Below are 26,996 nucleotides of genomic sequence, written 5' to 3'. Positions count from 1 at the left end.
TTTAAGAAAAATGCATTATATACATCTACTGTTTTTATAAATCTAATATATTATAAACACTTTTTCAAGTCAATAATATTCAACTTTGATATTGTTTTAGTAATGGTATGGTCTATCATGTAAGATTAAACCATAATTTCTTTAACCAAATTCTCCGTTGTTAAATCTTTAGTTGCTCTTATAAATAACACTTTGGAGGCCATCACTGAATATAAATCTTCACATGCTTGTTATTTATATAAGATATATTCCTAAAAGTCAAATTGCTGGATCAAAGAATATTAACTTTTTTGTTTTTTTTAAGACAGAGTCTTGCTCTGTTGCCCAGGCTGGAGTGCAATGGCGCAATCTTGGCTCACTGCAACCTCCGCCTCCCGGGTTCAAGTGATTCTCCTGCCTCAGCCTCCCTAGTAGCTGGGATTACAGGAATGCACCACCATGTCCGGTTAATTTTTATATTTTTAGTAGAGACAGGGCTTCACCATGTTGGCCAGGCTGGTCTCAAACTCCTGACCTCAAGTGATCTGCCCACCTCAGCCTCCCAAAGTGTTGGGATTACAGGCGTGAGCCATGGCGCCCAGCCTAGGGTATTATCAAAGTTGTTTTTTTTTTGGTTTTTTTTTTTTTTTTTTTTGAGACAGAGTCTCGCTCTGTCGCCCAGGCTGGAGTGTGGTGGCGTGATCTCCGCTCACTGCAAGCTCTGCCTCCCAGGTTCACGCCATTCTCTTGCCTCAGCCTTCCAAGTAGCTGGGACTATAGGCACCCACCATCACGCCCGGCTAATTTTTTGTATTTTTAGTAGAGACGGGGTTTCACCGTCTCGGCCTCCCAAAGTGCTGGGATTACAGACGTGAGCCACCACGCCCGGCCGGGTATCAAAGTTTTTAAGGTATTTGATACATATAATCAAAATGTTTTCCGGAAAATTTAAATCAATTTACCCTCTCATAGACAGTGATCCAGGGTATCTTTTTTTAAATAAAAATCTTATATGTTCCAGAGTCCACTATAAATACCCCTTGGTAGTCTGCATCATTGCTTTGCTCTGTTAACATCAGTAACCACAATTACCCTACTCAGCCAAAATGAGCCCTTGTGATTACTAATGAAATGTTCCACCATTTTTCAAAGGGTGTGGATGTGGGACCGGGTAGACACCACCCTGTCACACTCTCCCCCAGGGGCTGCCCAGTCCTAGGAGTCAAGGAAGAGGACCCCAGGCAGGGCCAGCCAGTCTCTGATCATTCATCTCATGACAGTGGGCTTACGTGGGTCAAGGTGAATTAGAACCAAAAGTACAGGTGTGTCTTCAGAAGTCCTATGAGCTAAGGCCAGCCCAGGTTCATGGGAGAACCACAGAGTTTAGCTGATCTCTTTAGAGGCTACTTCAGGCTCTTGGGAGAAAGTACCTTCCTCAGCATCTCAGAGGTCCTCCAAGCCCGTGTAAATTAGCTCAGGCTGCTGTCCCTGGAGCCCTGCAGGGCCAGAGCAGCTCACCCCCATTTTCCTGCCAAGGCCTTTCCTTGTCAGCAGTCATCACTGGCTTACCATTGGATGGAGCTGATTTTCTGGGTCATGTATAGAGATAACAGATGAGAAGTGGCCACATGTGAATATACCTTCCTTCATAATTCAATTTCAGACTCTATTTCTGGGTGAAAATAGTCCACTTGATATTTCTAGAGTGAATCACAAGTTGTATAACTTGTTCTCATTCATTCATCAAATAATTATTGCATACAGTAGAGTATATTTTTAAGGGGATGGTCGCTGGAGTCAGATTTCATGGGTTCAAATCCTGGCTTCAGCTCTTATTATGTGACCTTACACAAGTTACTTAACCTCTCTGTGCCTCAGTTTTCTCATGTATAAAATGGGCATAATATATTAGAAGATTTCTGTGACAATTAGACGATATATTTATTTAATTTACTTACTAATAACTTACATAAAACAGTGTCTGGAACCTAAGGGCTCAAAATGCCAGCTGTTAGAATTACTCCTTTGTATTCAGTCACAGACTAGAAACTCGGGACATGAAGAGTCCCTGGCTTCCAAAGGCTTCCTATTCAATAGAGAAGGTGGCTACATCAAAGATAAAAGTGTGATACCATAGACATAAAGCAGTGAGCAATAGGATCATGAAGAAGGAAGTTTTTAACTCTACCCAAGGATGCTGGGCAAAGCTAAAATAGTCTCTCCTCTGGGAGTCTGAGTCTTGTAGGGTTAGTTGGAATTTGTCAAGGAGACGAAGGACATTCAAGGCAGCATAATAATCAACGAGAAACCTTGAAGAGGAGCAAGGCAGGGCAGCATACAACTAAGTCAGGCAGGCTGTACTTAGGTTGGTAATGAGAGGAAGGGAAGAAGAGACAGAAGATGCTGGGAAGTATCAGCAGAGATCAAGGCATGAAACCTTTCATATCTCATGCTTATGAGTTTAAACTTTATCCTGTAAAGCCTTCCCTTCTCTCAACCTGGAGCCTTGGAAGAAAATATGTCAAAAGGTTCTTCCAGCCTTAGAAGCACAGTTTACTTAACAACAGGCATGACAATATACACTCTTATTTTTCTATTAAAATAAACTCAGATACTGTGGTGTGGATTGCAACGTTTGTATAATAAACTCAGATACTGTGGCACGGTTGCAACATTTGGATAACTTTGTAAGGGATTTCAATGAAATCTAGAACTTACAGTGGTATGCTTAGAGCTACACCTCCAGACCCCCAAGAGCAGACATTTATTCTCTCCAGAGGGGTTTGCCAGAGGAGAAAAACAGAAAAGATGACTTGACTGAGAAGACCAGAAGAGACATCTGTGTCATGTCTCATTCAAAGACAGCTTTGCACAAGTATCAGGGAATCATGGAAGAATTTGAAGGAGAGAACTGTCATAAGTAGATTGAGAATAATCACTCTGGTTTTGATGTAATTCTAAAATAATAATAATAATAAAAGAGATGTTCGGGTGTGATGGCTCACGCCTGTAATCCCAGCACTTTGGGAGGTCAAGGTGAAAGGAACACTTGAGCCCAGGAGTTTGAGATTAGCCTGGTCAACACGGCGAGACCCCATCTTTACAACAAACTAAAAGAATTAGCCAGGCATGGTGAGGCATACCTGTAGTCCCAGCTACTCAGGAGGATGAGATGAGAGGATTGCTTGAGCCTGGGAAGTCAAAGCTGCAGTGAGCCATGGTCGCACCACTGCACTCCATCCTGGTTGACAGAGTGAGACCCTGTCTCAAAATAATAATAATAATAATTATTATTATTATTATTATTAATAAATAAATAAAAGGGATAAAACCAGAAGCAGAAAGGCCCAAGGGGAGGCTAATTCCAAAACCTGAACCCAAGATAGTTCAGCTCACCCTTTTGTTATTCCTAAACATCCTACACTTCTCTTACATAATTTTTTCTTTTGAGACAGGGCTTTACTCTTGTTTCCCAGGCTGTGGGGTGCATGGTACAATCACAGCTCACTGCAACCTCAAACTCCTGGACCTAAGTTATCCTTGTGCCTTAACCTCCTGAATAACTGGGACTACAGGCTCATGCCACTGCACTCAGCTAATTTTATTTTTTGTAGAGACAGGAGTCTAGCTATGTTGACCAGGCTGATCTCGAACTCCTGGCCTCAAGCAATTATCCCACCTCAGACTCTCAAAGTGCTGAGATTACAGATGTGAGCCATGGGCCCAGGTCTTTCATAATTTGGCACTCTTTGCCAAACTAAACCTTAAGAAAGAATAAACTATACATGTTAACATATACGTGGCATACATTTGCTATCCAACAAATGGTTGTTAAATCAATATACAAACAAATGGAAGAATGAACTTGATACAAACTATTTTACTGGGTCTAGCATTTTTTCTCTGGAATAGGCCAAAATATATACTTAGATAGATATTAATAGATATAGATGTATAAATATCTTCTTTGATGATTTGAAATTTCTTTTTATCCCTGAAATTTAAATTCATGAAATAATATTTGTTGAGTTGATCCCAATTTTATTAATCCTATTTATTGGTTCTACATTCATCATTCTTTTTACAGAGGAGGGGCTGAAAAACTCAGAGCTCAAGTACCTTGCCAGGGTCATATAATCAGGAAAGGAAAAACAACCTTAACCTGGGCCTAGCTAACCCAAGGCTGTTCCCTTACCCATTGTGCTATACATTAGACTAAATAGGCTAACTAGAGTAAGCTCTGTGGATATCATGACATTTGATCTGGTTCCTAAAGGGAAGGTCAGTGTCCACATATTTGAGATAGGCGGGTAGGACATTCCAACTCCAGAAGGAAAATATGAGCAATATTCAGCATCCAAAGAATCCCTGGTATCTTGGGAGAAGAGCAAGTAAACCAATGGGGCCTAGATATAAAGAACTTGGAGAGCAAAGAAAAAGTTAAAAGTGGGAAGTACGATTAGAAAACTGGGTTAGGGCTAGATACCGTCTGGCCAACCAAGTCCAAGAGGGAAGTGAACCACAGCAGGTTTCCCAGCAGGGAGAAGGCATGGCCTGAGCTGAATGACGTGCAGATTTCTTGAGGTCTGAGCTTTTAAAGGTGAACTCAAGAAAGCTAACTCCTTTGTGTATCAGTTTCTATGCTGTTAGATGAGCAGCTTATATAACTCAGATCCACTCCTCAGCTCTTCAGGAAAGTAGCCTAGTTAATTTTCACAAGCTGACTGAAGATAAATCATGATCCAGAACAATAGTAGTCATTCTTATGGTGTGTTTTCCTTTCCCAACCTCAAATTCATCAGAGGATTTAAAAAATAAAGCTGGTTTTCTCTACTGGGTTTCTTTGCTTCTGGGTTTTGGAACCGAGTGTTTACACAAGGCCAAGTGTTCTGCTAGTTCATGAAATTATACACTGGATGGATACATCATTTGTCTTTTCTTAGAAGACCAGAAAATGAAGCATCTGGCCTTCTTGGTTTCTTGCCACCATTAGAATCATCTTCATTCAGGAGTCACAGTTTGCTGTGGATCTTAGTGGAAAGGTTTGAAACTTGCTTCTGGTTCTCCAGGTCTTACAGGGTGGAGTGAAATTTGATGTGGGCGGGGGGAAATATTCAGCTCCTTACATTTTGCTCTTCTCTTTTTCCCTTGAAGTTAGACATTCATCAGGCTTGCCTGGTAGGAGGTTGCAAGCCAAAAATAGCATGCAGTTGGGTGAGGTCTGGAACACAGAACCTCAGTGTAGGCAAACAACACCACCCACACCCCAGCCCTGAGGATTCTGACATCACATTCCCACAGCCGAGTATGTAAGACATCGTTATGTCCTAAGCATCCATTGCAAGCTACGGAAGCAATATGGAAAACACCCCCGTATATTGTAAAACATGTTAATTGAAACCAGACTTTGGCTCCTCCTTTTTAAATCCAGGTGAAAGTTCATTATCCTTAGGGGGAAAAAATGAATATGAGCAATGTATTTTTCTTGGACTTGGAAAATATTGCTCAGAATCCACTACATCTTATCTGTTAGAACTGCCCCCTCCCCACTCCCACATCCACCTATTTTCCTTGCATCTTTCACATGTTCCCCATCCCTCACCACACTGACTTCCCTACCCTCTTCCCACTCCCAGCCAGATGACTTACAGAAATAAACGAGAACTGTTATTTCCTCAGTGGGCTGGGCTTTCGATAATGTTAAGCTGTTTAGGTTGAAGCTGTGGCCTGACTTTGTCAAAAGCCATATGGTGCTGAGACAAAACTGGGGAGTAGGAGAGCACCGCCAAGATCTGCAAGATCTGTGACGAACCAAAGCTGTGAGTTTCATGAGGAAAGAGGAGATTAAGGGCGTTCTGGCTTTTTTGGCAAAAGCCCCAGTTGAACACAGGAATGCCCAGAGGCAAAAGCAACTCAACCTACAACAAATTAATAAAACAATCTGTTGATCCTGGCTTTGCTGTCAACACAGTAGACTAAAGACGCTTCTCAACTTCCAGGAAATAAGCACTCACAAGCCTCCCACCTTTACACTGAGGCATATGCCCAGTCTCCCAGGACCAAATAAGAGGAATTGTTTTCTGTGTGTCTCTTACTCAGTGATGTATTAAACTGGTTACATGAAGCATTTATAACAACATGCTCTTTCTTTTGTGAAAAAATTCCACACGTCCCTCCTAAGAGAGATGCAAGTGTTTCAGTGACTTAGTCATTATAGAATTCCATCAGGAACAAAAAAAGCTACATAACTTTTACTAGAAATAAATGGGAAAGAAAAATATTTGTTGTTATTTCCCCTTAAAATTTTACCATGAATAAAAAAGTAAAACATAATCTTCCACACGATAACATCCACAAAATGTATTCACCCTCCTTGATCCAACTATTATATATTATAGTCTTACAGAATCCAAATATGTTTATTCTAATAGAATTTTTATTCAAATATTTTTGACATGGAGTTAGCTTTGTGTTATAATTTCAAAATACTTTTCTTTTTAAAAAAATATACTTCCGAGATTCTGAAAGAGAAAACAAGGAAAGCCAGTTGCATGTACTAAAAAATAAGGTGACTGCAACCATCTCAAGGCAAAGCGAATAGGACTCGAATATAGTTTTAAATGGTCCTAAATAGGCCACTTCACTGGAAAGAGTTAGAAATGGGTATCTGCATAGAGTAAGTTTATTATACAGGTTGTAACATATATAAGTCAGGAAGTATGAACTGGCCTCCCGTTTTGTTTAGAGTAGGGAGTTGAAAATAATTTACAATAGATAAGCTAATGAGACTGGATGCTGTGGTTAATATGAGCTAACTTAGAGGGGGAGAGAGAAAGCTGTAGTACAAATACGCTCCAAACAAAAGATGTCAACACTCAGGGTAGGAAAGTAGGAACTTCAAAGCTAATAGTAGAAAGAAAATAACTGTGAAAGTTGAGATGGACTAAATATTGCTTTTTCTCCTGATTTCCGCAGAAACCGAGACAGTACCCACTGCCAGCAGCAGATGGGAAGTCTAAACAGGAGAGACTGAATAAAGCTGACAACTGAGGCAGGATAAAGAAGAGAAGGAACAAAGAAGGAGGGGGCAGGAAAAGAAGCCAAGCAGAACATGCTAGCCTGTCGATTTTGTCTTCCATTAAGGCTTCAGCAGAAGATAAGAAAAGCTAAGCCACGTCAGTGAAGGGAGGACAGCAGGAAGGCTTTCAGGGGAAGATTTGTGGTGTGGATTCACTCGGCATTGATGAGAGCAGCTCCCCAGACAGATACCGAGGTAAGAACTCTGGTTATTAATGAAATCAGGATGAACTCACAGGGTATCATTTGTAATCATTTAAATTCCAGAAAATAGAAGAGCTTCAATTCATCAACAGAAGTAGATTTTTTTAAGCCTATTTCAGAGAAAAAGACTAGATATACAAATATTTTTTGGCAATTCTGTTTAACAGGCCAAGACTAAATGTTTTATTCTCAAAAATGACAACAATGAAAACAAGCAATTTGTGTTAAAATTAGAGGGACATAATGATGTTCTAACTGTTACAGGGAAAGCAACAGCACATTTGAAATATGTACATAGAAAGTACACATGAGAAAGAGAATTGTAGCAAGGCGGGGGGGTTAAATTCCCACAATGTTGTTTTCAATTAAAGATAGGGAAGGTAAGATTAGATAGCCAAAAAGACATGATAGAAGAATAAGTGGAAGATGGATGGATGGATGGATGGATGGATGGATGGATGAATATAGATAAGGAGGTCAATTGATTGACACATAAATCCAAAAGACTAAGCTATGTGCACAAAAAAATCATTTAGGTACTTTAAAAGAACAAGGCACCCATATTTCATCCTTTTCAAACAAATTGTATACAATCTCTTTAATGACAAAATTAAAACATATTTATTCAAACGGTCCAATTCACATCAAAACAAGAAGAGGCCTACACAGCTGGGCCAGTTAACATGAATGAATAACTTAGCCAGTAACATCTGCCAAATGAATGTAGAGAGAACTCCAGAGGCTTTAAAAGGAGAAACCAGAGAAGAGGCTTCCGGAAGAAAATGAGAAAAATAAAGGTGATTAATTTAGGATTCAGGAGTGAGAGTGAAGAGGTTAGAAAATGAAATAGGTAGAATAAAAAGACACTAAAAATGTAAGAAAAAAACTAACACAAATTATAAACCTCAAGAAACAGAAAGGAGATACATGAATACATATTATAGCAGTAAGGATTTTTTGTTTGAAGACTCCACCAACCTATGAGCCAGAGAAGGTGCTGGCTGCCAGCCTTACTGTGCAGCCTTGCATGTGCTGATGATGGAGTTGATCCACCCAGCTCCAAGGTCTGGATTTCAGCTTTGCTTGCTCAAAAGCTGAATTTTGCCAAAGCTGAGACTGGATCCAGAGCTCAGGCTCACAAATAGTAGGTAAACCAGGATGTCAATGTATACATGCAGAAGTGCACTTTTCTCCTCAGGCAGTCTTCAGAGGAAAGCAAAGAATAATTGGAAGATCATTTGGAGAAGATGGCATTGGCACAAGAGAAGTCCTGTAGCATAGAGAGTAAAAGCTTAGACAATGAAGCACATGAGTTTGTCACTTGCTAGCTATGTGGCCTTGGACAAGTTATTTAATTTCTCTGTGTCTCAATTTTCTCATTTATAAAATGGGGCATTTCAGTTGTCTATTTCTACATAACCAAGCACCCCCAAATTTAGTTGCTGTATTAGTCTGTTCTCATGCTGCTAATAAAGACATATTCGAGACTGAGTAATTTATAAATAAAAAGAGGTTTAATGGGCTCACAGTTCCACATGGGTGGGGAGGCTTCACAATCATGGTGGAAGGCAAAGGAGGAGCAAAGTCATGTCTTACATGGTGGCACGCAAGACAGCGTGTGTAGGGGAACTGCCCTTTATAAAACCATCAGATCTCCTGAGACTTATTCAGTGTCATGAGAACAGCATGGGAAAAACCTGCCCCCATAATTCAATTACCTCCCACTGGGTCCCTCCCATGACTGGTGGGGATTATGGAAGCTACAGTTCAAGATGAGATTTGGGTAGGGACACAGCCAAACCATATCAGTCGCTTAAGACAACAATCATTTATTTTGTCTACAAATCTGCCATTTGAGCAGGGCTTGGCAGGGGCAATTCATATGCATTCCACAGTGCAGAGATTCAAGAGGAGAGGACATAAGGCCATAGGGAAAGTATCAAAAAATCGTGGGGTCATTTTTTAAAAACCACAGGAGTCTGCCCTTTGCCCACAAGTTATTTTTATTCCTCCCACATGCAAAATACATTCAGTCTCCCAAGACCCTCAGATTTCTTCCCTTTAAAGCAACAAGCTTCTTTTCGTTTTGCACTTTCTGTCTTTTTAGGACCAGCTAGTGATAATTTCACTGTAACTCTCTGGAAAACTTTGTGAGTTTCATATAAATCTTATTGGAGTTCATTCCATTAGACAAAAGCCACAATTGCAAATCTCTTTGAGATAACTTCTCACTCAGGTTCCCTTTGAGGCTCCTGAGATTCCCTTTGAGGCTCCAAACATTTCTAAGATACTTTCTAAAAGCCTTTGTGCTTAAGAGGTGCATCCAGGAGGCACCCTTTAAGATCCTTAGCAGGCTCAGCTTCAAGATGGCTGACTGGATACATTGGGTACTCACCACCTCTTTCACAAGGAAGAGCCAACATAGTAAGTAGATAATCACATTTTGAATAGACATCTAAGAGAGAACACTGAAATTCAACAGAGGAGTGAAAGGACATACCTAAGACAGGAAGGAGAGGAGCAGCCTGCTCAGCCAAGATTGGCTGGGAGCCTGGAGAGACTCCTCAATGTGGGAAACAGATAAGTGGTCCACATTCCCACTGTGGACTCCTGCAATTATAGCCACAGGAGAGCCCCTTGACCCTCACAGGACCTAAGACCAACATAGGGAGCTGTCTGGAGACTGCACAACAGCATTGTTCCAGAAAGGAAGCTCACACTGAGTCCTATACACCTCCTAAGTCCAAAGCAGCTAGAGCACAACACTATTTTGAGATCCCATTTCCTACCAGTCTGTATCTTGCCCTGGGGAAAAATAGCCCCTGCATCTGCATATCCCCAGAGCCCCAGTGACATTCCCCACCAGCAGCTACTTCCCCTGAAGGGTAACCTACCCATAGCTACTGCCACAGCTGGCTGCTGCCACCATAAGTGCCAAAACACAAGTCACTGGCAGTGACCCGACCCCACCAGCAGAGGGGCATCCATTACAAAAGCCACCCCACACCATGCTGCTACCACTGCCAACTGCTGCCACTGCCAGGATGAAGGCTGAGCTGCCACAGGCAACTTCAACCCAACCCCTAGCAAAGGGGTGGCCATGCACTTTCACACTGCTTGCAGCTGGTGTTGCTGTGGGCTGCTGCAAAGGGGCCGAAGCAATAGCAAAGCATACACCCCTGGCTACCTGCCTGTGGCTGCTCCCAGTGAAAGCAACCCCACCCTCCTAGTAGCAGGCCTACAGCATAGTCACTGCTGCCCCTACCTAAGCATTTCACCAGTGACCTGCAGACTGCCCTGCCCCTGCCTACCACATCCAGTGCCTGAATACACACCAGTGGCGAGGGCTAAAGGCAGGTCCTCCCAGCTGGACTCCATACCCTTAGTATGCAAGCACACTATCTGAGGCATAGAGCCCAATCCACCATCCCACTCCACCATCATAGGCACCTGAGCATTCCTCCTGGGGGCCTGAGGTTGGGCTCACCCAACCTGCTGCTACCACCACAGCTGATACCCACCCATATATGCCATTTGCAGGCCTGGGCACTGGCAAGCACAGCCTGTTGCATATACTGCCAACACAAATGTGAGACACAGAGGGTATCCTGCCACTACTACTGACATCACCTATGCCACGTCTGCAGCCCAGGAGCCCAAGAATTTGCCCACCCATAGTGTCCATGGCTGCCACTCCTGGCACTCTCGAAAGCCACCTGGAGGCCCAAGAATTGGTCTGCCTGGACACAATAACACCAGTGCCAATGTATACCACTCTGGGGCCAAAGAATAAGCATACTCAGCCCACCACTGTACCACAAGGACTGGAAGACGGGCCCACCTGGTATCCCAGTCTCCATTAAAAATTCACCACAACCTCCACTAACAACTGAACCCTAGGCCACCAAGTAAATCACAGGCACCACTAACTCTGTTAATAGCTGAAGAAATCATACACAGACTACACTACTACACACGCCAAGAATCAAAGCCAAAGTGCCCTACCCAATCAACACCATACATACATCTTCAGGGAAAAAGCACCCCATTATGAAAGCAAATTCAAAAAATTGAAAGAGGGACTGCTACACTGATGCACAAATATCAGTGTAAGGACACAAGGAACATAAAAAAGCAAGGAAATACGACATCTCTAAAGGAACACAATAACTCTCCAGCAACAGATTCCAATAAAAAAGAAATTTACAAAATCCCAGAAAAAATCAAAATATTGATATTAAAGAAGCTCAGTGAGATGCAAGAGAATATTGAAAAATAATACAAAAAAGTCAGAAAAACAATTCAGGGTATGAATGAAAAATTCACCAAAGAGATAGATCTCATAAAAAAGAACCAACCATAAATTTTAAAACTGAAGAATTCATTGGATGAATTACAAAATACATTCAAAAGCTTCTACAATAGACTAGACTAGATCAAGAAAAAAAAAAGAAGTTTAAGATGTGAAAATAAGTCTTTTGAAATAACCCAGTCAGACAAAAAAAAAAGAAAACGAATTTAAAAAGAATGAGCAAAGACTACATGACATATGGGAGACCATAAAGCAACCAAATATTCCAATTTCTGTACCCTAGAAGGCAAAAAGAAGACCAAAAGTTTAGAAAACTTATTTCACAAAATAATAGATGAAAACTTCCCAAGTCTAGCAAGAGATTTAGACAGACAGATACAGGAGACTCAGAGATCACCAAATAGATACAATTCAGAAAAGTCTTCTCCGTAGCACATTGTGGTCAAACTGTCAAAAGTCAAAGACAAACAGAGAATTCTGAAAACAGCAGAAGAAAAGCATCTAGTCACTTATAAAGGAAACTCCATCAGACTAACAGCAAATTTCTCAGCAGAAACCTACAGACCAGGAGAGAATAGGATGATATATCCAAAGTGCTGAAAGAAAAACAACTGCCATCCAAAGGTACTATACTCAGCAAAGTTGTCTTTCATAAATGAAGAAGACATAAAGTTTTTCCCAGATAAGCAAAAGCTCAGGGAATTCATCAGCGCTAGATTGGTCCTACCAGAAATGCTTAAGGAAGTTCTACACCCAGAAGTGAAAGAACAATATCTACCATCGTGAAAACACACAAAAATATCAAACCCACTGGTAGAGCAAATAGATAAGGAAAAGACTCAAATGTTACCACTACAGAAAACCACCAAACTAAAATAATAAGCAATAAGAGAAAAAAGAAAGGAACAGAGGATATACAAAATGACCAGAAATCAATTACTATGGTGATAGGAATACGCCCTCACATATCAATAATAACCTTGAATATAAACTGATTAAACTTTCCACTTAAAAGATACAGACTATCCAAATGAATTTTTAAAAACTCAAGTATATGCTGCCTATAAGAACCTAATCTCACCTGTAAAGACATACAGACTCTAAATAAAGGGATAGAAAAAGGTATGTCATGCAAACAGAAACCAAAAGTAAGCAGGAGTAGCTGTACTTATATCAGATAAAACAGACTTTAAGTCAAAAACGGTAAAAAGAGATAAAGAATTACTATATCATTGTATAATGATGAGGGGATCAAGTCAGAAAGAGGATATAGCAATTCTAAACATATACGCACCCAACACTGGAGCATGTAGACATATAAAGCACATATGATTAGATCTAAAGGGAAAGACTGACTCCAAAATGACAATAGTTTGGGATTTCAACACCCCACTCGCAACATTAGACAGATCATCTAGATGGAAAATCAACAAAGAAACATTGGATTTATACTGCACATTAGACCAAATGGACCTAACAGACGTTTACAGAACATTTCGTCCAACAGCTATAGAATATACATTCTTCTCTTCGGCACATGGAACATTTTCTAGGCTAGACCATACATTAACACACAAAACAAATATCAAAAAAAAATAAATAGAAATTATATCAAGCATCTTCTCATACCACAATGGAATAAAACTAGAAATTAATAACAGAAACCTTGGAAACTGCACAAACATGCTCTTGAATGACCAACGGATCAAGGAAGAAATTAAGGAGAATATCAAATAATTTATTGAAATAAATGAGAATCAAAACACAAGCTACCAAAAGCTATGGGATAGAGCAAAAGCAATGCTAAGAGGAAGTTTATAGCAATAAATGTCTACATCAAAAAAAAATAGAAAGAATTCAAATAAGCAATCTAATGATGGACCTAAAGAACTAGAAAAGCAGTAACAAACCACATCCAAAATTGTTGTAAGAAAAGAAATAATAAGAATCTGAGTGAACTAAGCAAAATAGAGACTAAAAAAATACAAAGGATCAACAAAATGAAAAGTTGGTTCTTTGAAAAGATAAAATTGATAAACTGTTTGCTGGACTAGCCAAGAAAAAAAGAGAGAAGACTCAAGTAAACAAAATCAGAAATAAAAAAGAAACATTTCAATTGATACCACAAAAATAGGAAAAATTGTCAGAGATGATTATGAATAACTATATATTAACAAACTGGAAACCTAGAGGAAATGGATAAATTCCTGGACACAGACAACCTACCAAGATTGAATCAGGAAGAAATAGAAATCCTGAACAGATCAACAACAAGTAATGAAATTGAATCAGTAATAAAAAGTTCCCAACAAAGTCCCAGACCAGATGGCTTCATTGCTGAATTCTACCAAACTTTCAAAGAAGAACTCACAGTTCTCTTCAAGCTATTCCAAAAATTGGAGAGGAGAGCATTCTCCCTAACTTATTCTACAAGGCCAGCATTACCCTGGTACCAAAACCAGAAAAGGATGCAATAAAAAAAAAAACAAGCCCATATCTTTCATGAACATAGACCCAAAAATTATCAGCAAAATACTAGCAAACCAAATCTAACAACACATCAAAAAGATAATACACCATGATCAAATGGGATTTATCCCAGGGATGCAAGTATGGTTCAACATATGCAAATAAATAAACATGGTATGTCACATCAAAAGAATGAAAAACAACACCACATGATCATCTCAATAGAGACAGATAAAGTATTTGATAAGATTCAACATCCCTTCATGATAAAAAAAAAAACCTCTTAACAAACTAGTCATAGAAGTAACATAACCTCAAAATAATAAAGGCCATATATGACAAACCCACAGCTAACATCTTCTTGAACATTATACTAAATAGAAAAAATCTGAAATCCTTTCCTCTAAGAATTGGAACAAGAATGCCCACGTTCACCAGTCTTATTCAGCATGATATTGGCAATCCAAGCCAGAGCAATCAGGCAAGAGACACAAATTAAAAGCACCTAAATTGGAAAATAAGAAGTCCAATTGTCCCTTTTTGCAGATAATATGATCTTAGATCTAGAAAAACCTAAAGACTTGACCAAAACCACTCATAGATCTGATAGATAAATAAATTCAGTAAAGTTGCAAGATATAAAATCAACACACAAAAATCATTAGCATTTCTACACACCGATAATTAATTAGCTGAGAAAGAAATCAAGAAGGCAATGTCATGTATAATAGCTACAAAAAATGCATAGGAATAAATTTAACCATGAAGGTGAAAAAATCTCTACAAGGAAAACTACGAAACACAGATGAAAGAAATTGAAGAGGATAGAAATAAATGGAAAGCCATCCCATGCACATGTTTTGGAATAATTAATATTGTTAAAATGATCATACTTCCCAAAGAAATCTACAGATTTGATGCAATCTCTATCAAAATCCTGATGTCATTTTTCACAGTAATAGAAAAAACAATCCAAAAATTCATACGGAATAAAAAAAGAGCCCAAATAGGCAAAGCAATCCTGAGCAAAAAGAACAAAGCTAGAGACATGACACTATCTAACTTCAAATTACACAAATAAACCAATGAAACACAATAGAGAAACCAGAAATAAATCCACATATTTATAGCCAACTGATTTTTTACAGCTGCCAAGAACATACATTAGGGAAAGGAAAGTCTCTTCAGTAAATGTTGCTGGGAAAATTGGACATCCATATGTAGACAAATGAAACTGGACCCCTATTTAGTGTAACTGGGTCTATCGCTATATACAAAAATCAACTCAAGATGGATCAAAGACTTAAACATAAACAAAAGGCCCCAAACTATAAAAATACCAGAAGAATACCTAGGGAAAACACTTCAGGACTTTGGTCTAGGCAAAGATTTAATGGCTAAGACTTCAGAAGCATGGGCAATTAAAAACAAAAATAGACAAATGGAACCATATTAAACTAAAAACCTTCTGCAAAGCAAGGGAAACAATCAACAGAAAGAAAAGACAATCTGTTGAATAGGACAAAATATTTACAAACTATTAAACTAGCAAGGAACAAGTATCCAGAATATACAAGATATTCAAACAACTCAACAGTGAAACAAATATTTTTAGTTAAAAGTAGGCAAATGACATGAATAGTAGGCATTTCTCAAAAGAAAACATACAAATGGCAAACAGGTATATAAAAAAATGCTCAACATCACTAATCATCAGGGAAATGCAAATCAAAACCACAATGAGACATCATCTTACCCATTGGAATGGCTATGATTAAAAAGACAAGAAATAACAAATGCTGGTGAGGATGCAGAGAAAAGGGAACTCTTGTACACTGTTGGTGGAAACGTAAATTAGTACAGCCACTATGGAAAACAGTATTGAGGTTTTTCAAAAAAACTAAAAATAGAACTACCATATGATCTAGCAACCCCAATATTCAATAGTTATCCAAAGGAAAAGAAATCAGCATATAAAAACATACCTACATTCACATGTTTATTGCTGCACCATTCACAGTATGCAAAGATATGGATTCAACCTAAGTGTCCATCAATGGACAAGTGGATTTTTTAAAAAGTGGTATATAGGGCCGGGCATGGTGGCTCCCACCTGTAATCCCAGCAGTTTGGGAGGTGGAGGAGGGCAAATCACTTGAGGCCAGGAATTCCAGACCAGACTGACCAACATCATGAAACCCCCCTCTACTAAAAATACAAAAATTAATCAGGCATGGTGGTGTGCGCCTGTTGTCCCAGCTACTTGGGAGAGTGAGGCACGAGAATCGCTTGAACCCAGGAGGCGGAGGTTGCAGTGAGCCGAGATCATGCCACTGTACTCCAGCCTGGGTGACAGAGCGAGACTCTGTCTCAAAAAAAAAGAAAAAAAAAAAAGTTGTATATATATACCTATATACGCAATGGAATTCTCTTCGGCCATAAAAAAAGAATGAAATCCTGTCATTTACAGCAACACAAATGGAATTGGAGGCCATTATTTTAAGTGAAATAAGCTAGTTACAGAAAGACAAATATCACATGTTCTCACTCATATCTGGGAGCTTAAAAAGGTTTTCTCATGGAAATATAGAGTAGAAGATACTCTACAGAGTACCAGAGGCTGGGAAGGGTGTGTGGGTGGGAGTGGGGAGTACAGAGATCGGGCCGGGTGCGGTGGCTCAGGCCGGTAATCTCAGCACTTTGGGAGGCTGAGGCAGGTAGATCACCTGAGGCCAGGAGTTCCAGAGCAGTTGGGGAAACATGCGAAACCCTGTCTCTACTAAAAATACAAAAATTAGCTGAGCATGGTGGTGCACGCCTGTAGTCCAAGCTATTCGGGAGGCTGCAGCAGGAGAATTGCTTGAACTTGGGAGGCAGAGGTTGCAGTGAGCCTAGATGACACCACTGCACTTCAGCCTGAGCGACAGAGCAAGACTCCGTCTCAAAAAAAAAAAAGAGAGAGAAAGAGAGAGGTTGGTTAAAGGGTACAAACATACAGTTAGATAGAAGGTTTAAGTTCTAAAGTTCAACAGCATAGTAGGGTAACTATAGTTAACAATAAAATATTGTATATTTCAAAGTATCTAGAAGAGAGGACTTGAATTGTTCCAAACACAGAAATAATAAACACTCAAGATGAATACCCCTAATACATTGACTTGATCATTACTTTCCATGCATGTAACAAAATAAAACATGTAATGCATAAATATGTAAAATATGTAGCCATTTTTAAAAAAACATCCTTAGAGTAACTTTCATCTATCTGAAAAGTACTACTGGGAACTGCCCTACCACACAGTGCCCCAGATCTTCCTGAGGTCTGAACGAAGGATCTAATAAACCTATCCTGGATTTGATCTTTGGCTTGAAGCCCTTTCTTGAGAGTTGTCTGGCCACCTGGAGAAGCTGGGAATGAGAAATGCCTTATTTTTAATTCCAATAAGTCCTGGCTTTTTATATTTAGTAGTTTATTCTTTAGCTCTTCTATCTCCTCTCACTTTTTATTATAGAGAGTGAGAAGAAACCAGGCAGCACTTCCAACATTCTTCCTGAAAATTTCCTTAGCTAGAGCATTCATTAAGTGCATTTTTTATTTGTCACATTACTTCAGGCAACATTGCTACCAAGATTTCCACCACTACATGAGTCCACTTTCCTCCAGCATCCATTAACCATTTTCTTGATTTCATTTTGGCCCTCACTGACAGCTTCCTCTAGGCCCTTTAGGCTTCTGCTAGCACTCTTCTAGAGGCCCACGCATCTTCAACCCTCCACCTCGTCTCAGACCAAATCCAGGTTTTAAGTTTTTGATACAGTGGCATCCCACCTCCAGGTACCAAAATCTTCTTGGTTTCTTATGAATCAGTTTAAAATGTACTCCACTAATAACTGCCTCCTTATAGAGCTGTAGTTAGGATCAACTTCGTCAATGCCTATAATGTGCTGATGGTATATAGGAAGGACTCAATGGAGGTTTTCTGTTATTTAAATGCTTGTAATGTGTGTTTACTGTATTGTTTGGGAATATTCAATACTGCTATAAAAGATAAGAAAATAAGTGGGATACATGAAACTCATAAGACATAGTAAACAGATATATGCTTTTATATATATATTATATATATACACACACACACAACATATTGAGACATAGAAAACAAATGGAGCATATTTCATGTGTTCCACTTACGTTTTCTAGTTAAAAAAAGATAAAATGAATAAAAAAGAAGGAATGGAAGATAAAATGATTAAAAAGAAGGAACGGACCATGTAACATGAATATTCATGATACGCTCAAACATAAGACATATAAGACTCTCAATATTCATGAGGGCTTATTTGACCACTCACTGGTGAATCCACCCTGGCCTCTTGTGTCTTCTGCCCATAGCTGCTCAGTAGGCGAATTCACAAGCTGCAGTTACCTACCTCCAATAAAGCAAGTGTTTGTCATTGAGCCCAGAGACCTGTCTAATTCGACTCCCTTACTCAAACCTCAGCTCTGGTCCTTGTAACCATATGATCAGCAGAAAGGTTAATGTGGCAGAGAGGTAGGCAGTCACATGGCCACTGTATAGATGAGGAACCTGATGGTATGGTCTTTCTACCACTCTCCCACCATATCTGTATTAATCTATCCCATTTTCTCCCCCTTGTGTTGTGGGTTGAATTGTGCCCCCTGCCCCCCAAAAATGTTGGACCTATGGATGTGATCTTTTGGAAACAGGGTCTTTGCAGATGTAATCAAGTTAAGATTATGTCATACTGGATCATTGTAGGGTCTAGATCCAATCCCTAGTGTCCTTAAAAGAAGAGACACAGATACACACATAAAGAGAGACTGCTGTGTGTGGATAGAGACAGTGACTGAAGTATGTGTCTACCAACCAGGGAACATCAAAAATTGCGAGCAACCACCAGAAACTAGTAAGAGGCAAGGAAGGATCCTCCTCTTGAGCCTTCAGAGAGAGCACGGCCCTGCCAACACCTTGATTTCAGACTTCTAGGTTCCAGAACTATGAGACGATAAATTTCTGTTCTGTAAAAGAAATCCTGAGAGGTAAAAGGTAAGATGCAAAGATTTGAAGAAAGGGGAGAAAAGGACAGAGAAAATGCAAAGAACTACCTAAAAAAACAGAGAGGAGTACAACTAATTAAATCCAAGTTACATAACATAAATCTAGAAAGCCACTAATAATAAACACTAATGACAGTAATAATAATAGCAGCTCCCATTTGTAGAGCATCTGCTATGTACAGGCATTGTACTACACATTTTTATTCATTACCTCTAATATCCAACTACAGGGTAAATTTTCTTACCACTAAGATGAGAAAATAGTCTGGAAGACATTCAGTAGTTTATTCATGGTCACACAGGATAGTAAATGGCAGAACCAGGTTCAAAACCAGTTCTATCTTGCTCCAAATCTTTGATCTTTTCTAGTGTATCACACAGCCTCCCAATAACATAGATGTTAGTATACTGAGAGGTTAAAGAGATGAAGAAAATAGAAAACATTTTAGAACAAGAAAACAGGCTAAATATGAATAAGAAAATGTATTATAAAAGAAACACCAAGTAAAAGAACATCATCATTCTAGTCAATATAGAAAGGGAATGAAACTGGAGGATGGATTCCTTCCTTTCTTTTTTTCCTCTTTTTAAAGATACAATCTGGAAGTTTAAAAGATTAATAAGATTTGTGTAAGATTATGCATGGTGATCAGGATGAATTGGGAAGGGGAAAGGAGAAAGAATTTCCAACTCTCACTTCCTACACATGATACTAAGTGCAGCAGTAGCAAGAAGGAATTTCAAATGAGTTTTTTGAAAAAGTGACAGTATTGGCCGGGTGTGGTGGTTCACGCCTGTAATCCCAGCACTTTGGGAGGCCAAGGCGGGTGGATCACGAGGTCAGGAGATCGAGACCATCCTGGCTAACATAGTGAAACCCCGTCTCTACTAAAAATACAAAAAATTAACCAGGTGTGGTGGCGGGCGCCTGTAGTCCCAGCTACTCAGGAGGCTGAGGCAGGAGAATGGCGTGAACCTGGGAGGCAGAGGTTGCAATGAGCAGAGATCGCACCACTGCTCTCCAGCCTGGGCGACAGAGCAAGACTCTGTCTCAAAAAAAAAAAAAAAAAGAAAGCAAAAGAAAAAGTGACAGTATTGAAAGGAAATCAAAGTGACCCAAAAATCTAAACAGTTAGAATCACTCAATAAGAACAAATACCTTAAAGGTTACTTATTTAGCACACAGCACCCCCAAAGAGAAATGGACCAAGAAACTTTGAGCTATGAGAGAAATACAGCTACTTTATTAATGATAAGGAAATAACTGAAAATAATTTAGCAAAATGAGGGATATTTTGCAGAAGTATGTGTCAGATGATGAAATTTTCTTCAAACAAGAAGAAATAAGGATGTAAGAGGAATGATCAAGTTGAAGGAAGCCCTCCTGACTTTGGAAGGGATAAGAGAATGGCAGGATATATTTTAAAAATGATACAAAGAAAACTCAAAGGAAGGAAGAAAGCCAAAGTCTTTATAAAAAAATAAAAATAAAAATAAATGCTCCCAGCTGTGGTAGCATGAAATGCACATAGAAAGGGGAAAAGGATGGAAACTGAAGCCAAAAAACAAATAAATGAATAAATGAGAAGCGTTTGAGGCAATGTGAAGGCAATGAGAAAAGAAAAGGAAAATCAAGAAAGAATGGAATTTCTTCCCAAGGACATTTTAGTGTCCAAAAAGCAGAGAAAATGATGATGGCTTTAAAAAGAGGCAATAAAGGACAGAGGTTAAAAGGCTGGGTTTAAAAGTTAGCCACATGGAGTTCTAGTCCCAGCTCCATGTCTTAGGCAACTTTCTTTCTTCTTGTCCTTTTTTCTGGCAACTTTCTTAACTTCCTTGTGCCTCAATCTCTCTTTATGTGTAAGATAGAGGAAAAAAAGACCTTTATACTGCATTATCTTCTGTATCCTGGATTGCTTTGAGGAGGAAATGAGATGAGAATGAAGCTATTAACATGGGGCCTGGTTCATAGGGAACAGTCAATAAATGTTCATGATGGTGATTAATTCTTTATGATACCCTGGAAAGATAAAAACCAGCAGGTAGCACTGAACAAGAAACTGCAGATAGTATGTACGACGTCTTTGAGGAACTATTTCGAGAGCAAATAAAACGCACAGACAGATGCAAAATAATGTTTGAGAATTAAAAGAAAGAACAGCTCTCAAATACTGTATTGAACAAATACAGCTCAAAAAGTGAGCTGCACTGTCAAATTGTTAAAGAGAGAGGCTCCTGGGTGGAGCAGATTCACTGCAGCGTTCTTACAAAACATCTGTCAGTGGCCTACAAGAGAAGATTGAAGTGAGCATCACAACAAAATAATAAGAGTTAATGATAACTGATTGAGGAAAAAGGAAATATAACAATTGAGGTCACATCCTAAATGCACATCAATAAAGGATAGTTAAATTATGGTACATCTGCATCCTGAGTGACTGCTAAAAAGAATGTTGTGGTTCTATATATGCTGACATGGAGAAACGCTTTATATAGTGTTTAGTGATAAAGCACAGAACATTGTATATATTAAATTACACTATTTTATGAAAATATTTTACATGATTATATGTACCTAAGTGAACCGGATACACAGAGTCTGGGAAATGAGGCTGGATGAAGGAGGGACTTTTTCTTTTTTTCTTATTTATGTAATGGAAGACAAAATGGTGTACTGGTTAAAAACCCAGGCTCTGCAGGTACCACTTAAGTAATCTTTAAAAAGTTATTGAGTCCCCCTGTGCCTCATTTTACCCATCTGTAAAATAAGGAGGATAACCTGGTAAGGCTGTTATGAGGAGGAAATGAGATCATGAACATTTCGTATACGCTGCATTCAGTAAAGGGCCTGGCATCTAGAACCCTCAATCACTGTCGGCTGTTAATGTTTTTACACCTCTGTAATGTTTGCAGTCACTTTACAAGTATGAATGACTTATAGAAGTATTAAAAAGCCTAAATGTTGGGAGGCTGAGGGGCGCAGAGCATGAGGTCAAAAGATCGAGACCATCCTGGCCAACATAGTGAAACCCCGTCTCTACCAAACATACAAAAATTAGCTGGTGTGGTGGCGGGCGCCTGTAGTCCCAGCTACTTGGGCGGCTGAGGCAGGAGAATCACTTGAAGCCGGGAGGCAGAGGTTTCAGTGAGCCGAAATTGCGCCACAGCACTCCAGCCTGGCGACAAAGCAAGACTCTGTCTAAATAAAAAAAATAAATAAATAAATAAATAAATAAATAAATAAATAAAAGACTAAATGACAATATTAAAGAGACTTAATAAGGTACAAAAAGGAAGGGGAGTTTTCTGGCCATTCTGGTGTATTTGTTTCTCCAAGAGAGCCTTAGTGTCATTTTCTTAAGTTTTCCTCAAAATCTTTTGGGTATTTTAATTGGCATTGTATTAAATCTCTGGATTTATTAAGGGAGAACAGACAGCTTCACACTACAGAGTCTTCCTATCCAATATCAAGGAATGTTGTTCTTATGTTGTCAGTATAACTTTTTAAGTTTTTTCTTATGTTCTAAGTATAATTTTTTAAAATTTATGTGTCTGCACGTTTCTTTAATGCCAAACTCTTTTTTTTAGTTAATATGGTAATTGGAATCTTTTTTCCATTATATTCTCTTACCTAATCTTGTTTATATATAGGAAAGCTATAAGGGGGATGAATCCTACTAGATATTAAAATATTTCCATGGAACTATAATAATTAAAAACAGGTTGGTGCTGAAGAGGAGATGAGAAGATCAAAGGATAGAGAATACAGAAATAGACTCTAATTCACATGGGAACTTACATTATAATCAAACGGAGAAAAATGAATTATCTGTAAATTACAGTGGGAAAACTAGCTATCTATTTAGAAAAAGATATCTCCCTTCTTCAGCCTTTTTTTTTTAAGAGATGGAATGTCAGTATGTTGCCCAAGCTGAACTCAAACTCCTGGGTTCAAGCAATCCTCCCACCTCAGCAGCCTGAGTGGCTGGGACTACAGGCACACACCACGGCACCTGGCCCCTTCTTCAGTCTTTATACCAAGTAAATCCAGACTAGTCAAAGATTCTTTAATGAGATTATAAAAGCAGATTAATCAATGATTTTTTAAAATAAACTTATAGGAATAGAAGAAAACAGATGAATTTATTTACAATCTTGGCATAGGAAATCCCTTCTAGGCAATACGCATGAAACCTAGATACCATAAAAGAAATTTAAATGTTTGTGTGGTCAAATTTATCTAAACATCCATTTGGAAAATATACATATTATAAATAAAGTCAATTGACAACATATTGGGAACATATTTGTAACACATACAAAAAGGGCCAATTTTTTTAATTTACAAAGACTTCATAAAAATCTATTGGGAAAAAAAACCTGATAATACAATTGAAGAATAAAATGAATTAAGGCAATCAGCTCATTAACACAGTTTGCAAAAATAAAGTTCTATATCTCACAAATAACATGAGTAAACCCAGGAGTGCAAGTCCCAAAGCTGACCTCAGGGAGGCCAGAGAGGACCAGAGGACTGCGCTGAGACCAGACCCCTCTACACAGCAGGGGACAGAGCCTGGACTGTTCATAAGCAATGCAAGTACACAAGCTGTAACCAAGAACCTTTCTGTGGTTTGTCTTCTAGGATGATCATTTTAAATGGCTTTCATGTTACCGTGGTATAAAAAGACAAACTCACCCAGATGAGTTAGGAGTGAAAAATGGAGAATTTTCCTAACTTTTCCGTTAGTTTTCAGTTGATGCTTTCAAGTTTCAACTTTAAGAAAAAAAGAATGGTATCCTGCTATAAGAGTTGCCTAAACCTGATTTGAGTTTCTTCCTGCTCACACCCTTCTGTTGGCAAATGGTGCATCTCGCATCCTGAAATGCTACCCTAACAGCTTTGTAATGTAACCCATTCTGCCTAGTGGCCCTCTGGGGCACAACTATTCTTTCTGAAACCCCTTAATGTTCTTTGAATGACCCCATTCCCTGGTCTAACCCTTTTTCTTTTCATGAGCATAGGCTGCCTCTGATGTCTTTATGTATAGGATTTTCCATTTCTTTTCTAGATCCTTGGCCTTCCTACAACACGCTGGCACATTTGTCATGTTAGCCTTTTCACGTGTGACCTTGTTTTGTATTTGGAAATTTTTCTTCTTAGAGGACCACTACCTTCTTTCTCTCAGTCTCTCAGCATGGAAGCTAACTCTCCAATTATTGATTACAATGTGGCTCCTTAAAGGTGAGACTTAAAAGCACAAAGCAGTAAAATAATTCTTAGGAGTAAAATAGTTCTCCAGTGTCCTCTGTTCCCCATCAAACATACTGCCTGACTGACCTTCCTTCCTCAAGGCCAGTGGGCTAAGTGCCTCAGCCACCACCCCCTCCTGAGAGTCCACACACAGGAGCAGTTCTGTCACTTCAGTGTCCAGTGATGTTTAGTTTTAGTTAAAATAAAACAATTCAATAAATAAATCTCTTTTTCTGCAGCGATTCTCTTATTTCCCCCAGAAAGGAAAGCGATTCACTATGCAAATACTAAGAAAGCTGATGTAGAAATTACTTGAGGATTGTTCATATCCACATCAGCCTCTGCTTTGTTGTAATGTAATCATATAAATGTAATTATACATAGATCACCTACCTACATAGCTATAGTATGCATACATGTCAGATTGCCTATAAATATATAGTTTTATAAATATAATTATACATGTATACATTTATATAGAGAAATAGTATATATAAACATATAACATCTAACACACGGAACATTTAATCTGATGAATGCTGTTGAACACTTTATAGATACTGTCTTATTTAATCCTCACAATTACTTTATCAGATCAGCACTACTATACTCCCCATCTGTGGTTGATTAAAGAGGGCCGCAAATTCTTTGACACCCCTCCCATGAAGGGGTGAAGTCAAAGACCCCTCCCTGAATCTGAGCAGGCTCTGTGACTGTTTTGACCATGAGTTTATGCGGAAATGACGCAGTGCCCATTTCCGGGGCCAAGCCTTAAGAGCTTCCTTTTCCTGCCTCCTGTGCCCTCACTTTTGGAGCCCCGGGCCTCCATTGTAAGAAACCCAACTACCCTGCTGAAGACACCACCTCCAGAGGCTCTGAGCGCAGCTTTCCAGCTGCCCCGTCGAGATGCCAGACCATGAGGGAAATCATGGACCTCCAGAACTAAGCAGCTGCCCACTGAATGCCACTAGGTGACCCAATCAGTGCCACATGGAGCAGAACCGCCAGCAGAGTCCTGCACAGATTTCTGACCCACAAAATCACTAGTTTTCATAAAATGGTTGTTGCTTTAGGCAATTCAATGGTGGGGGTAGTTTGTTAGACAGCAGTAGATAACCGGAACTCCATCTCACAGATGCAGGAGCAAAATCACAGCAAGGGAAGTAACTATTCCAGATCACACACCTAATTAATAGCATGGCTGAGATTCCAACTCAGGCAGTCTGCCTTGAAAGCTTATAATCGTAGCCACTCTACTGAATTATTTTAAAATCATAATTAACTTTTAAAGGTAGAGCATGTATAACATTTTGATTCTTCTTAGCATCTACTCTAATTCCTATATAATGAAGAATTTGCCCCAAAGGCATTTATCCTTTCTCCATTTGCAGCTATCTATTTATGCTTATTTTCACATCCTTCTGAGTTTTAAAATGCAATGAATTCCTCTAACAGATTTGCCTGTATTTATTTTAAGACAGTAGGGTAGAGATCCCCATTTCTCTTCTGCCTTTAGTATAGATTGTATCAGCAGTGCTGCTTAATACCAAAAGGGCAGGCTAATTCTGGGCTTCAGGAAGTTGATTTCCACGGTATTAAATGTGGCTTAGTAATTTTCCAAGGAGACAGAGACCCTGGGGTCTTGGCAGTTTCCCTGATAAGCTATCATCCCATCTATTTTATATTAGAATGTATTGTTTACTGAAAAGGGGGTAGGAATGGGGCAAAGAGGAGACTTGATACCAGCTTGTTGACCGGCAAATAGATCTGTACCTGCAGCCTTTCTGGAGCCAAAAAGGTCAGGGGTCAAGGACCCAGAGGTACTGATGAAATCAAGGGCCTTTGGATAATTAAACACTTCAGCAATATGCCTCTGGAGCAAACACTATTGTTCCCAAGATATAATAAATAACACAATGTGTGACATCAAGGAAAGCAGGTGCTCTGTGCAAGTGTTATCCTCTAGTCGCTGAAGGACATTTTCACAACAAATAGGGATAACCAACAAAGCCTAGACTTATTTTCTTTGGTGTTACTTCCAAAACATTTTGATTTCAACCTTCCAGAGACTAATCACATTGAGAAAAATAGCACAGATGATAGGCATATAGCTATCAACGTTTCCTAGAATTTAAGGCATAAAATTAACAAGCAAGCACAAAACACTCCTAAATATGGTAATTTGATGGATTCTTAAGCTTGGTATTCTGAGTTATGCTCTATAAATTTCTAGTATAGAAACACAGAATAGAATTCTGAGATTTTAGAGATCAACCAGCTAAATTGCTCTTAAGCAGTGATTTGTATCTTTTCTTCAACCAGCTTCCAACAAAAATAAAACCATAACATAAACAATTGTTCTATGTTCCAGGTGTTGTTCTCAGGATTTTACATTGATTCACAGCCACTCTATAAGGTGAATATTATTGTTATACCCCAATTTACAGGTAAAAGAACGGAGGCTTAGAGAGATTAAGTAACTCGCCAAAGATCACAGTGGTAGGAAGTTGTGGGGGAGTTTGGAATTAAATTTATATGGACAGATCCAAGTACTATCCCTCCTCCCTAATTTAGAAATCAGAACGGCTCCACTTTTATCCATTTTTATACAAAAGATTTAA

At 39.0% G+C, this 26,996-nt stretch overlaps 1 long non-coding RNA gene across 1 annotated transcript in view, besides 1 other annotated feature; it reads right to left on the bottom strand.

Moving 5' to 3' along the window:
• The window catches only part of LINC01500 (long intergenic non-protein coding RNA 1500), a 189,041-nt gene that overhangs the window by 146,415 nt on the left and 15,630 nt on the right, over nt 1–26,996 (bottom strand). The gene's annotated exons all lie outside the window — the stretch shown is intronic.
• Nucleotides 23,812–24,352: an enhancer, noted in NCBI's record as "NANOG hESC enhancer chr14:59313280-59313820 (GRCh37/hg19 assembly coordinates)". NCBI's record gives its function as "activates a minimal SCP1, AML or CMV promoter by ChIP-STARR-seq in naive H9 embryonic stem cells {active_cell/tissue: H9 hESC(naive)}" and the evidence as "EXISTENCE:reporter gene assay evidence [ECO:0000049][PMID:30033119]".

The sequence above is a fragment of the Homo sapiens genome, chromosome 14, assembly GCF_000001405.40.
Source record: "Homo sapiens chromosome 14, GRCh38.p14 Primary Assembly".
Lineage (NCBI taxonomy): Eukaryota > Metazoa > Chordata > Mammalia > Primates > Hominidae > Homo > Homo sapiens.
Note: the sequence above shows the minus strand (reverse complement) of the source record. Positions and strands in the feature narration are given on the sequence as shown.